This window comes from Homo sapiens, chromosome 2 (genome assembly GCF_000001405.40).
Source record: "Homo sapiens chromosome 2, GRCh38.p14 Primary Assembly".
Classification (NCBI taxonomy): domain Eukaryota; kingdom Metazoa; phylum Chordata; class Mammalia; order Primates; family Hominidae; genus Homo; species Homo sapiens.
This window is the reverse complement of record NC_000002.12, coordinates 145,067,418-145,080,712: the sequence shown is the minus strand read 5'-3', so window position 1 is coordinate 145,080,712 and position 13,295 is coordinate 145,067,418. Positions and strand designations below refer to the sequence as shown.

The 13,295-nt window shown below is 36.6% G+C and overlaps 2 long non-coding RNA genes across 2 annotated transcripts in view; both read right to left on the bottom strand.

Moving 5' to 3' along the window:
• Positions 1-13,295, bottom strand: part of LOC100505498 (uncharacterized) — a 257,710-nt gene that overhangs the window by 183,398 nt on the left and 61,017 nt on the right. The window lies entirely within an intron of this gene.
• TEX41 (testis expressed 41) overlaps positions 3,984-13,295 on the bottom strand; it is a 408,763-nt gene continuing 399,451 nt past the window's right edge. Inside the window, exons 4-5 of the long non-coding RNA NR_033870.2 lie at positions 9,772-9,893; positions 3,984-8,189 (exon numbers count right to left, since the gene is read on the bottom strand). This is a non-coding gene — a long non-coding RNA (testis expressed 41). The remainder of the gene's footprint in view (positions 8,190-9,771; positions 9,894-13,295) is intronic.

Genomic DNA, 13,295 nt, shown 5'->3' with positions numbered 1-13,295 from the left:
ATAGATCAGGAATTTGTCTTTGTCCAATTGTCTTAAAGAAGCTATTTTTTTCCATCTTCTTTTTTATTTTGTGAGATAATGAAATATTTAAATAACTGATACTTGGCAGAAACACTTATTCCCACAGTATTTCTTGCCAAAATGAAAGAAGAAAGATCCAAATATCAAACAAGGGATGCTGTATTTGTGAGATTATAAGCCTGATTTTGTACATGACCTCCCCCTTAAAATAAAATAAAATAAAATAAAATAAAATAAAATAAAATAAAATAAAGCAAAATAAAGCAAGGCAAAGCAAAACAAAATGATTAAAGCAGTGGAAATCTAGAAAGCTATTTGTGAAGTGATATAACCATCCTCAGTTGATGACAAAAATTAAAAATCCAAAAATATATAGCAAGAAACAATCTTGCTCTGACCATAAATGGATCAGATAACGAAATCCTCTTTCCAGTTTCAATATCTGTTCAATTTTTAAAAGGAACATAAAAGTTAGGACAACATGACCCATAACTTGTGATTATCCAAATAAAATTAAATGCCTTTAAAAAGTTTTCTACTAGGGTGGGGTGGGGGGGAACTAGGTCAAAAATAACGTGTATTCACTGGGCTTCATTTTATGAAAGGAAATGCTCTTCTGAGAAAATAAGTAATTCCATTCCATGCAGGTTTCATTTTTGTAAACATCAAATTGGCAAATATGCATTTGCTTTCTTCCCTAAGATTTGCCTTACAAAATGTTAAGGAAGAACTGACTTTACTAAGACTCCTCCATTTAATTATTGCATCCAAAATTTATTAAAGACAGAAAACAAAAACATTTGTAAGCCATGGGGACTGGTGGTAATTCAGGTACAGTGAAACCAGGAGGATCTGCTGATTCCAGATGGAGTGGATATATTCCCATGGCACCTATTACTTGCCAAATGTTTCGTAAAGCAAACACATGACCTAAAAGGTTTTGCAAGTGTGGGGTCTTCAACAAAAAAAAAAAGAAAAAAAAGAAAAAAGAAAAAAAAAGTATACACTTGCAAAAAAAAAAAAAATTCTGTTCTTATTTAAAAGTCATTTCTTAATTCCTAACCATAAGTTGTTTTTAAAAACACACACACTTTTAATATTTTTCAGCTGTCATGCCCACTTTAGTGAGTCTACATGTGTGGGTACTCCGTAAAATCTCACTGGTGGTGGCAGATGTCCCCTTTGAAATATTTCATCTGCTGCTGGGGGTGGGAAGGGGGTGTCACTTTGGTGCCATGAACGCCATTCCTTCTGAAGGCTCCAATTTAGGACAGTCTCTCTAGAGCAAAAGCAGTATTTCCTGATGTCACTCAAACCAGTGGTACAAAAAGCAAAGAAACATATGACTATGTCAAGATGAAAAAGGAATTTTAAATAATAACATATTTATGAAGCCTTTTACAACCACAAAAGAACTGCTGTAAAAAAAATCAATAATTGTTATAATTAAGGCTTGGCTATGGGAGAGTAAAAAATTATATTTGTTGTTTGAAGTGACCAAATTCTATGTGCATGGAAGCCCCACCTATTCAGGGAAGACTCGCCTAGTGGTTGGAACCCCAGATGATCTCTTCCTCCCTAGCATTCCTCTAGCAGTTTCACTCTGTACCACACATTTTAGCACTTAATTGCCTACTGTCATCCTTTATCCTCTAATTGTTTAGAGGTCTGGTAGTTTAGAAGTTTCAACTTATTTTGAGTGAATCTGTTTTTTCTTCCTTCAAGACAATTAGTGTGCTGAACAGAAGATACCCAATAAATATTTAATTGATGCATTCATTTATTCAGTAAATTTTCATAAACATCTAGTCCAGGCCAGGTTGAAAAAACGTCACTGTCCCTCGCCCTCAAGTAGCATGTATATTTCCAAAATTTTTTCTTAATGTCCCAAGAGAAAGTGACATTAAGACAATGATCTCAGAAATATGAGTATAACCACAACCAGTGTTGGGTGCTGTGAAGGAAAAGCACAAGACACTATAAGACAGTCTGTCAGGGGATTTGATGTAGATGAGGGAATGAGGTGAGGAAAAGTTTTCTGGGAAACTGACACTTCCTTTTAGGCCCAAAGAGTGAGTTAGAACTATCTAAAGAAATGCGAATAAAAACATCTTGGGAAGATGAAAATGCAGGCTAGTTTGAAGAACTGAAATAAGACCAGTGTGATAGGACAGTAATAAATATGCGAGAGATGGAAGGAGACGCTGGAAAGTGTAGCAGCAGCCTGATCATGTAGATCCCTATGGTTCACAATGAGGATTTTGAACTTCTATGCTGCATGAACTAGCAGGCCGTTTAGGGTTTTGAACCAGGAAGTGGCATGATCAGATTTACCCTTTAAAAGAACCATTCTAGCTGCAGGGTGAATAATGGATTAGAAAGAACAAATGAAGAAGTAAGGAGACCAGGGAGAAACATATTTTATTAATCCAGGCCAAAAATGACCCAATCATGAACTAGGGCAGATGACAACAGAGGACATGGAAAGAGATGGGCAAGCCGGAGGTACATTTGCAAAATTAAATCTTTAGGACGTTATGGTGGATTTGATATGGAGCTTGAGACAGAAAAAAATCAAAAGTAATATGGCAGCTTCTGGCTTGAACTAGGTAGGCTGGGCACAGTGGCTCATTTCTGTAATCCCGGCACTTTGGGAGACTGAGGTGGGCAGATCACTTGAGGTCAGGAGCTTGAGATCAGCCTGGCCAACATGGCAAAAGCTCATCTCTACTAAAAATACATCGGGCCTGGTGGTACACACCTGTAGTCCCAGCTACTCAGGAGGCTGAGGCTGGTAAATGGCTTGAACCCAGGAGGCGGAGGCTGCAGTGAGCTGAGATCATGCCACTACACTCCAGCCTGGGCAACAGAGTGAGACTCTGTCTCTAAATAAATAAATAAATAGAATAAACAACTAGGTGGATGATGGTATCACTTACCAAAACATAAAAATAAAAAAAATAAAGCAGGACTTGATTGAAGAAGAGTAGGAATCAATAGATTTTAAGTTTCAACTGCTCCTGAGGTGTGAAAGTGGAGGTGTCAGATCAGCAGCTGGTAGAAGGTCTGGAGCTCAGGAGAGATTTGTTGGAAGAAGGTGATTTGGGAGTCATCCCCCAAAAAGAGCGTTTGAAAAACAGGACTGAAAAAGTTCGCTTAGAGAAGGAGAAGGTAGGAAGAAGAGAAGAAGCCCAGGACAGCACAGAGGAACAGGGGAGAATTACAAATAGGACAAGAAGGAGACAGAAAAACAAACTAAAAAAAAGAAAGAAAGAAAGAAAGATGAGGTAGGAGGAAAGCAGCGGAGTGTGAAGAACTCAAGGACTCAAGGGAAGAGTCAGGAAGGATGTCCTAGTTGTCGATGCCATTGTGAGGAGCAGCCTTCCATTCTAAGTGTCCACCTTGGGTCGTTCCAATTGGAGGTTGTGCTGAAAACACAGCTTGTTCTTTCTGTCAGTAGCACCTGCTTTTATACGTCTTTTTTTCTCCCAATTAGCCTTACATCAGCTGCTCTGGATAATAATTACATATGTCTTTGCAAAATTGCGTGACTTACAAGAGAAATTCTTTGTATGCTAGGTAAACTACACTTTTAGGTCAAGCCATCTTAAACGTAAACTCCAAGTTTTGTAAAAATGTACCCAGCCATTTTTATATGATATGGTTAACAGGCAAAATTTAATCTAGTATTCTATTAGTAAATATTATTTGTAGACACATGACAATGAGCTGCGATTGTATCTAACTTGTCCTCATTCTCTCTTCTTAGCTCAAAAAAGGATTATTTTTAAAAATTGCCAAAATGGTAAGGGATACATAAAAATTAAAAAGAGATGTATTTTGTTGGTAAAATTACGGATATGTTTGTATTTTCTTTTAGAATTTCCTTTAAAGGCCTACGTTAAATACATTGCTGGTGGGAATATAAATTAGTACAATCTCTTTGGAAAACTATTACTCCATTTTTTTAAACTTTGTATTTAATGATAATGTAATGCCAAAATTGCACATAATTGTATAGCTCTCTGAATTTTCACAAACTTAACATACCTCTATAATCAGCACACAGATAAGAAACAGAAAATACCAATACCTCAGAAGATTCCTTGGCATTTTATGTTTAATGTTGAACATTCCTTTAGGACTATTCTACTCATACACACACACACACACACACATGCACACACACAAACATGCTGTATATATGCACACATATACAGCTATTCTACATATGAATAATATATCCTGACAAAATAGTTGGAGTTGCTTTAAGAGTGTCCTTCAATAGCTATGAGAGTTTTGAAATTTAGTTAGATTTTCAGGTTTACTTGGGGTGATATTCAAAATATTTAACCACTGATAACAGCACATGTAACAACCAATCCAAACAGATGCCACCCTTGGACCTGGGGCACAGTCCTGCAGTCTCCCTGCTGTGCTGATATGATCTTTCCGTTGCTGGATCATAAAGATATCCAGATGATTTCTAAGGAGAAGCCCTTGGAGCTAGAGTGTAGGGATAATGCCTGAGGACTAATTAACCAGTTATATAAGTAGGTCAATATTTTTAAAATTAATACAACTAGACATGGATAAATGATTTGTTCAGACTAACATTTATACAATTTGGAATATGTCCATGAAGAAAATAAATACAAATTGTCTTACTTTCACAAATAAAGAAAAGAAAAAAACAGGAAAAAAGATTATTACTAGGGCCTCTACCAGGATCCTAAGTATAAATAAGTTTCATATGATCAGTTTCATGAAAATCTACCTCTGGCTATGGGTGTACTGGAACATACCAGCTGAGTATTTGCTTTGAGTCCAGATGAATATTCCAGGCTGCAGATTCTCAGACTAAACCAGACTACATGAAGACCTTGTCACTGTTAATGACCATGCCAGTGTAGACACGATCAGTGTATTTTTGTTTGCTGCTGTTTAGTTTGTGCATGATTCAGTTGCAAATTAAATTTGATTTTACTACATTAGAATTCTAATATTTGAGAAATACCAAGGACATACCTAAAATAGTTTCAGCAACAGTATTGCAGAATATGAAGCAACTTTGCAATCAATTCTACCACTATAGCACTTCTATAACTTAGGACAACTTAGGACAACTTTTCTTATACAATAAGGCATATGATACATGTTTGCTGTTTGAAAAAATGAAGGTGAAGCTGGATTTGAATCTCAGCTTTACTAATTAGCATTACACTTTTTTACACATTCTTAAAATGGACAAGGTAATAAAACAAAAGGTGACTGTGAGGATTACTAAGAAAAAAAATAATTCATATGGTAGATACTCAAAAACTGTGAATGCCTTCCCTTCTCTCCAGAATACAGTTAAAGAACACAAGCCTTGAATGCATAACAAAAAAATGGGCTTTTTCTGCTGAAACAGATCTCAGAACTCAAGACATTGGAACCAGGGTTTTCAATCATGCAGAAAGGTTTAATTAAGCGAGTGCCAATGTGATAACTAAGTCTATGTCACTGCAACCCAAGACCAAATTTAAATGTTATCAAAGACTTTGAATTCCATAGGGATATTTTATTGAGCACACAAGGGATTGTGTTCTATATTTGATGACTTTGAGGAAGGGAAAGAAAGAAATCAGCAATTTTTCCCAATGAGTGGAGGGAAAAATGGAAGACAATACTGCTAGAAAAATACACAAATTATTAAAGAATTCTTGACAACAAATAGAAACATGTTGGCCATAAATACATTTTAGAACAAGATAGACTATATTTAAATGAATGACTAAAATTAAATAAATATTAATGCCTTTCTTTCTTAGCACACAAAGAAAAGAATGAATTCTTCAGAAATTAGGGAAAGTCAAGTGAACTCAGAGAAAACAGAAAAATAAACTTGCCCTGTGGTTATTAACAGCATGTACATCATTAATGATTACTGAATTATTATTAATATCACCATTGAATGATGTGTAAGTTCTCATGCCTTAAATGTAATGAACACATTAATATTTGTTAAGTGTGTGAACACATTAACAATATATGATAACCTTCTTTCTAGGAACTAGCTTATGGGTGCCAGAAGTTTTGTATTTCATAGTTTCATCATTGTTATTGAATTTTAAGTATTGTCTTAAGTTACCTTACTTCACCCATCTGGTAAAGATATTTTATATGTAAAATCAAGGCTTTCCTTTTCAGTTACATTTCACTCACATTCTGAACTCTATTTTTTATATCCTTAATTATGAACAAAGAGATCCTGAGAAATAAATCCATTTCCACTTCTAGCTACATTTCAAAATCTGGAATATTGAGTCTCCATGGAATGCTCAACCTCAGAAAGATTTTCCCCTGGGTCTCACAGGATATATTTTACAGCAGTTTAGGAGAGGAACCAATAGTTTTTATGGTCCTCAGGAGGACTGGATTGGTAGAAGACCACCAAGAAATGGAATAAGATTTCAGTTCTGTGGGTGTTACTCGAAGGGATTTGCTAAACCTACAAATTTCCCCTTCAGGTTACTATAAGTCAAGGTGACATATATGTAATATATATATGAATTGGCAATGTAATTGCAATAAATGATTTCTGTCAAGAAGAATTTAAAATACATTTTTTAATCCTAAATGTTTTTAAGAATATCAGTGGGAATAATGTTTTCCAGTTTATGAGAAATCACTTGGTTACTACCTAGAAAGACATTAAGGATAATATGAAATCTAGTACTCACAGAAAAAAAAGTTGTTTTTCTATCTATAATTGTTTCACCTTAAAAATATCATTTTCATTTGGAACCTCAGTGTCCTTAAAGGGTAAAATTTATTATGTACATATTGTGACTATAAGGAGTCTTTGAAAAACAATAAAATAACATTGAAACAATAAAAGTTGACTAATGAGGAAATGAATGGAAAAAAACAGACTAATAATAACAATAATAATAGTTAACCTTTGGGTCAGGTGGAGTGGCTCACACCTCTAATCTCAACACTTTGGGAGGTAGAAGTGGAAGGATTGCTTGAGGCCAGGAGCTTAAGACCAGCCTGGACAACAAAGGGGACCCAGCCTCAACAAAAATGTATTTTTAAAAAAATAGCTGGGTATGGTGGCACGTGCCTGTAGTCCTAGCTACTCAGGAGGCTGAGGCAAGAGGATCACTTCAGTGCAGCAGGATGAGGCTATAGTGAGCCGTGATCACACCACTGCACTCCAGCCTGGGCAACAGAGCAAGAACCTGTGTCTTAAAAATAAACCAGAAAAACAGTTAACCTTTGAAAAGTTTTTAGTTTGTGCAATGTATGTAGTAAGCAGCAATTTTATGCATCTAATTTAATCCTCCTAACAATTATATAAAAAGAGAGGTAGGCTGGAATTAGAATTTGAATCCAAATAAGTGAAACTCTGCAGAATGACAGAGTAGGACTAAGAGAATAAAAAACATTTAGCCTATTCTGTTTCACATTACAAATTATTTCTTAAAAAAGAACCCTGGGCATGTACTCTATCCTTCAAGATAACTCTCAGGATTGCAATTTGTCAATATTCAACAGAAGAATTAAAAATCACCATGTATTTTGAACCAGTAATTCCACTTCTAAAATTGTATAAAATATAAATGCAAGGATGTTCATTAAAGCATTACATAAAATAATAAAAATTTAGAAATGGCACAAATGATTTGGGATTTGTTAGGTAAACTATGGTAGGTCTATGAGATAGTTTATATCACTATAAATTACATTATAGAAAAATGTTTCTGAGCATGGAAAGAAAATGTTCACAATATATTGCTAACCTTCAAAAATGTATCCCATTTTGAATAGAAATAAAAATACGTATGTATATTTTGAAAAGGTCTTGAAAGAAAACATACTAAAATGGTAATAAGCAACACTTCTCCCTGCTGTGCCCAGAATCCAGCATCCAAAGCTTCAGTGGTGGGGTGGCAGGAGGGGTGGCAGCAACATGGCAACCTCAAGGATGGAACTATGGTGTGAGTTTGGATCTCATTCTAAGTGATACAGCCCCCCAGCCTGGTTCTCTGGCTCACAGTAAACTCCACAATAGTCTTCAATATCTCCATTTTCTGCTTCTAGTATCCAAAGCTTGTTTCTGTGGCTTGCCCTGAGGATCCCAACAGATACAGGTCCTCCTTAGAGTCTTCAGTAAAGTCCTGTGTGAAACACAGAGCAAATGGCCAAGAGGTTGAGGTCATCTGTAGAAAAATGTCCAGCATCAGTTATTCTCATGATTTCTGGAATTATCAAATACTAATTCTCTTCCCCAAGATAAATTTTTGAGCAATAGCAGAGACACTGGAAGTTTACTGTGATAAAAGTGGAAATAAGGAAGAAATGAGGAAACTGCTGGAGGCTGGATTTCCCAAGTCCCACCTCCAGACGCGTGCCTATGTGTGCTTTGACCAGAGAGGGTAACAATTATCCCCATGGAAAAGAACTCTTCGGAGAAATTATATTTCAAGGTGAAGATCCAGATTCAAAAATTAGGACTCCACAAGTTACAAGTCTGTGCAGTCAAAAAAAAAAAAAAAAATGCAGGCCTACTGAGGAGTTCAAAGTGGAAACTTAGTAAAGCAATTCCCAGCCCCTGAAAACAGCACCCACGTGAAGGGCTAAAGATATTCCAAATGGAGGATTTCCTAACACCCCCTAAGATGTGATGACTGAGAAGAGTGACAAGTAGGTAATTCCAGGGACTAGAAGAGAGAGGCAGCCTTTTGAAAGGGTGCAATATAATTGATTTCATTTTCAGGTGAAATAGCTGGGACTATCACTGCCTCTCTCAATTCACCCATGTGACCTACAAGGGAGTTCCTATGACCATTTGGCTGAGAAAGAAAAACTGACCTGGGTCACATCATATGCTGGTACTGGCCAGCCATGGATTGCTATTCTACTGCAGCCTCACCCAAAGGTGGACCTAAAGAAAAGTGATGAAGAGATAGCCTCTCTCGTGGGCAAAACTTGGAGCAGGAAGTCTTGCTATTTAGTATGCCTGGGAAGAGAAATGGCCTGAGGTTCAGACTGATTTAGAGGCAGTCACTGTTGGGTGGCTAGTTGGCCAGGAAATGGAAGAAGAGTGTGAGAAGATTGGTGAGCACTGTCTGGGAAAAAAGTTATGTGAATGTACCAAAACTGGGCACAAAGCATGAAGATGTTTGTATCCTGTGCAAAATGCTCTATGATTGTTGAGAACATCCACTCTTGAGGAAGTTCTCAGCAATCATATTGTCAAAATAATTCATACAAAGGCTATCAGGCAGCATCCCTCCCCAGTGCTTATCCAATGGGTCCCTGTACAAAGATGCCATCATGACAGACAGAGGCAATGCAAGGCCTCAACTGCATGGTCTTCACCTCCACTTTATCACCATAACATGGTTTCTAAGTACAACCTCAGTGACCAATATTTAATACCTGACAGAGCATCATTATCAAAGGGATTAGCAGCTTTCAGGTGGCAGGTTGATTACAGTGGTCCTCTGTAATCAACAGTGAACCATTTTGGAAGGGGCAGAAATTTGGCTTCATTAGATGGATATCTATTCTATACATGGATTTGCTATGCTTCTTGCCAGTACTATCATTTCATGAACTTATAAAAATATACTGTTAATCTTCATAGAATCCCACAACATGTTGAAGCTCATTTCACAGCAAAATGTGCAGCAAGGAATTTATACCCATGAAATTCACTTGTCTTGCAGTGTACCCTATTGTCTGAAGAAAACTTACCTAATAGAACAATGAAATTAATTACTGATGATTCAGTTATGAAGTCAGCTGGGAGACCACATCCTAGGAATATTGAGTGCTTTGAACAAGGAACCATTATAAGGTACTGCTTCTCTCATGGCCTGAATATAAAGGTTTGGAACAAATGGGTAAATGGAATTACCATTTTTGTTAATACTCTAAATAACTATACTTGTATCATTTTTGCTGTCTTTATAACTTCATACTCAGCAGATTTAGAGATCTTAGTTCCCAAAAAAGAAATACTTACATTAATAACACAAGAATTGTCCCTTTGAAATATAATTGAAACCCCCACCTTGATATACTTTGGGCTTCTCCTGCCATTGAACCATCAGCCAAAGAAAGGGGTTGTGGGGATTGATCCTAACAACTGAAAATTGTTTTGCTGAAACATGATGGGATTTACTCTCATCTTCCCTTAATACTTTCAAGCTTAGTAGTAAAAATCAAAAGGCAACTATCCAGTAAAGCCAAAATCACTAAGGGTTCCAACCCTTCAGGAAGGAAGTCTTGGTTCACCAGCCAGATAAATAACCCTGACCAATTGAGGTTCTGGTTGAGGGCAAGAGGAACATAAAAGAATGAAGGAAGGCAGCACACTCATGATTAGAGACAATGATGAGGGTGATGCTAGCTCTGCCTGCTTTTGTTATGTATATATTAACAAATTATTTCTATTTTGCCCTTTCCTCTTTCTCTATTCATATGATCTATGAGGGAGTGTTCATGATGCATAGATTTTCATAGTGACTCACAAATCACTGCACTCTGAGAAACTGCATCAAGACCTGATGAAGAGGACATTGTATCACTTGACCACCTTCAACTTTGAGAATGAAAAGTGAAGATGAGACTTTTTGTGTCCCTTTTGTGGAGAGGTGTGACAGCATCTTCATTTGTGTTTTGGGTTGCATTTTATTAGGTAGAAGAATGAAGTCATTGTTTCATGGGAATAAATGATGTATAGTTAGCAAAAATGCATGCCGCACAGAAAAAGGGGTGGACTGTGCTACTTCCTTACTTCCTACTTCCTTACTGCTCACAGATTCATTTCCCATGCTTATTCTGCTTGCCAGAAATTGGCTTTTACAAACATGTTCAAGGTTTTTTATCAACTGCTTTCTAGCTAGGTGGGGTAAATGGGAAGCCCTAATTATGAGTTTAGGCTGCAGGAAGGGATAAATTAAGCCCCCAATTCCAACCCTCCCACTGCTTCTGGTAGAATCTCTAGTAATGGCCTCATCTCCTCATGGTTCTAATTCTAATCAGGGATCTAAACAGCCCCTCTCACTGTGGTTTCACCTCCAGCTGACTGGCCCTGGTTCCTACGCTCTGGTAATATCCTGGTAATATCATATTCTCCCTCTGCCCTCCAGGTGCAGGAATGGCAACACTTGTGTGGGTTGGCACACCATCCTTGGTTGGCTTTTCAGCCTTCTAATTCCTTTGTCATATATTTTAGGCTTCTTACATACTCCCAAGCATTGACTCTGTTTTCTCATTTGACTCTGACTGATCACAGTTATTTCAGTAGTTTAGGTGAAAGATAATGGTGATTTAAACTGAGGTGCTAGGGTGTTAGCAGTAGGTACCAAGAGATTTAAACAGAGCAGAGGACGTGCTATATATATTGTAGGTGTTGAAGAAAGGGAGGAATCAAGGAGAGTACTTGTTTTTTTTTTTATTTTAAGCAACTTCATAGATCATGGCATAATTTATTGAAATGCACTAGATAAAGGAAGAAACAGTTTGGAGACAAGAATTTTAAAATTCCTCTTTATATGTGTTCATTATGAGATCCCTGTAGGATAGCAAAATGGGATTTCCCTATTTGACAGATTCTTAGTAAAACTAGGGATTTGGGAAAAGACCCAGCCTCCTTCTTGATACTTCAGTTCCAAGTCCTCTTTTTCATTTGCAATTAACTTATGAGTGGTTAGATACCAGCTCCTTTTTCTGTTCTTGTCAAATGGAGAAAAAATGAGGAAAAATGAAATTTCTAGGGATATTTTCATTTAAATGATACTCTAATAGAATAAACGAATTTGCCTGACTGTTTAAGTTTTACCAGAAAGGATTTTACCTGATTCTGAAATGGCCAAAATAAGTGATGTTCTAAACAAGGAAACCTTAAGGCAACTCTCATTTGCTTGTTCTGATGCTCTGAGAACAGGAAGCCTAATTACTCAACAGCCAAGTGCACTTAGCAATGTCTTGAGAAACTGCCCTCTGGCAACATTCTCTTTTAGGACATAATCAATTCATTGCCTTAGCATCAGCTAAATTTCACTGGAATAAAAATAGGAGGAAAATACTGACCTCATAATGAGATTCTTGAGTCCAAAATAAAAATTTATAAGCAGTGCGGTGCCTGAATGAAGGATATGAAAGAAGCAGTAGTTTGCTTCTGGCTTTGTGAATTTAGCCATATTCTCATGTTTCTGTTCCTACATAGTTATCAGCCATTCACATATAAAAATATAATCAGGATTCAGGAACTACAATATTAATAAACAATAATGGGTAAGAACACATGAAAATATCACCAATATATTTCTGAAAAGGAAATTGGGTGTCAGATTATCTTTCCTAAATTTTATACATTTAGTGTTAGCTAATATATTTCTTGAAATACTTGTGCAGTTTATCTTTTTGTGATAGTGTCTTTCAAAAAGTGTTGTGGAGTGTGCTATAACATAAGAAAGCAATCCTACAGCAAATTTTGCTTTATACCTTTGCTATAGACACTACATTCCAGTTGATGTGAAAGTGTGCATAGAGTGTATATGTCTGTGTGTATATTTACTGAATACATCCTCGTTGATGGCTGGCCATTTAGGGGGGGAAATGTGAAGAGAAGAACAGTGGCATGGGGATGGGGAATTCTCCTCTTTAATCAGTCTTATAAAATCAAAAATTCCCATGCTTAGAAGGTCAAAGAGAGAGTATAATGCACTTATGAAAAAGAGATAGGCTCATTAATCCAGTTGTTCTTGGCCCAGACAGCAGAAGAAATATAAATGCTGTCATCACTTACGTGTGAGATAAAGGATGAAATGTGGGAATTTGTCGGTTTACTGCAAAGACCATTCTTTTGGTTTGAGAACATTGGTGGAAATAACCTGAGCTGAGAAAAGCTCCCTATGAGGAATACACGTTATGGGAAACTATTAAAGACAACGTTTGGTCAATGACCTTCGTGACGTAGTTTAATCAAGCTGCACACCCCTCACCAAAAAGACAACTACTTGAAGAAGGGAGCCCTCAACAAGCCAAGACATTTTACCTTTCCTCTATTACATGAGTCTGGTATAAGACATGAGTGTGCAATAAATCTCTAGTTCATGCATTCAGAGGCTGCACTATGATAATGATAGACTATAAATCACAGAAAATATGTTACCTTTATTTTAGGACAGACAATAGCTAGAAATAGTGCTAACCAATAGCACAGATGTCTAGTAGATACAAAAATGAAGATTTGGCAGTTGTTTAAAAAT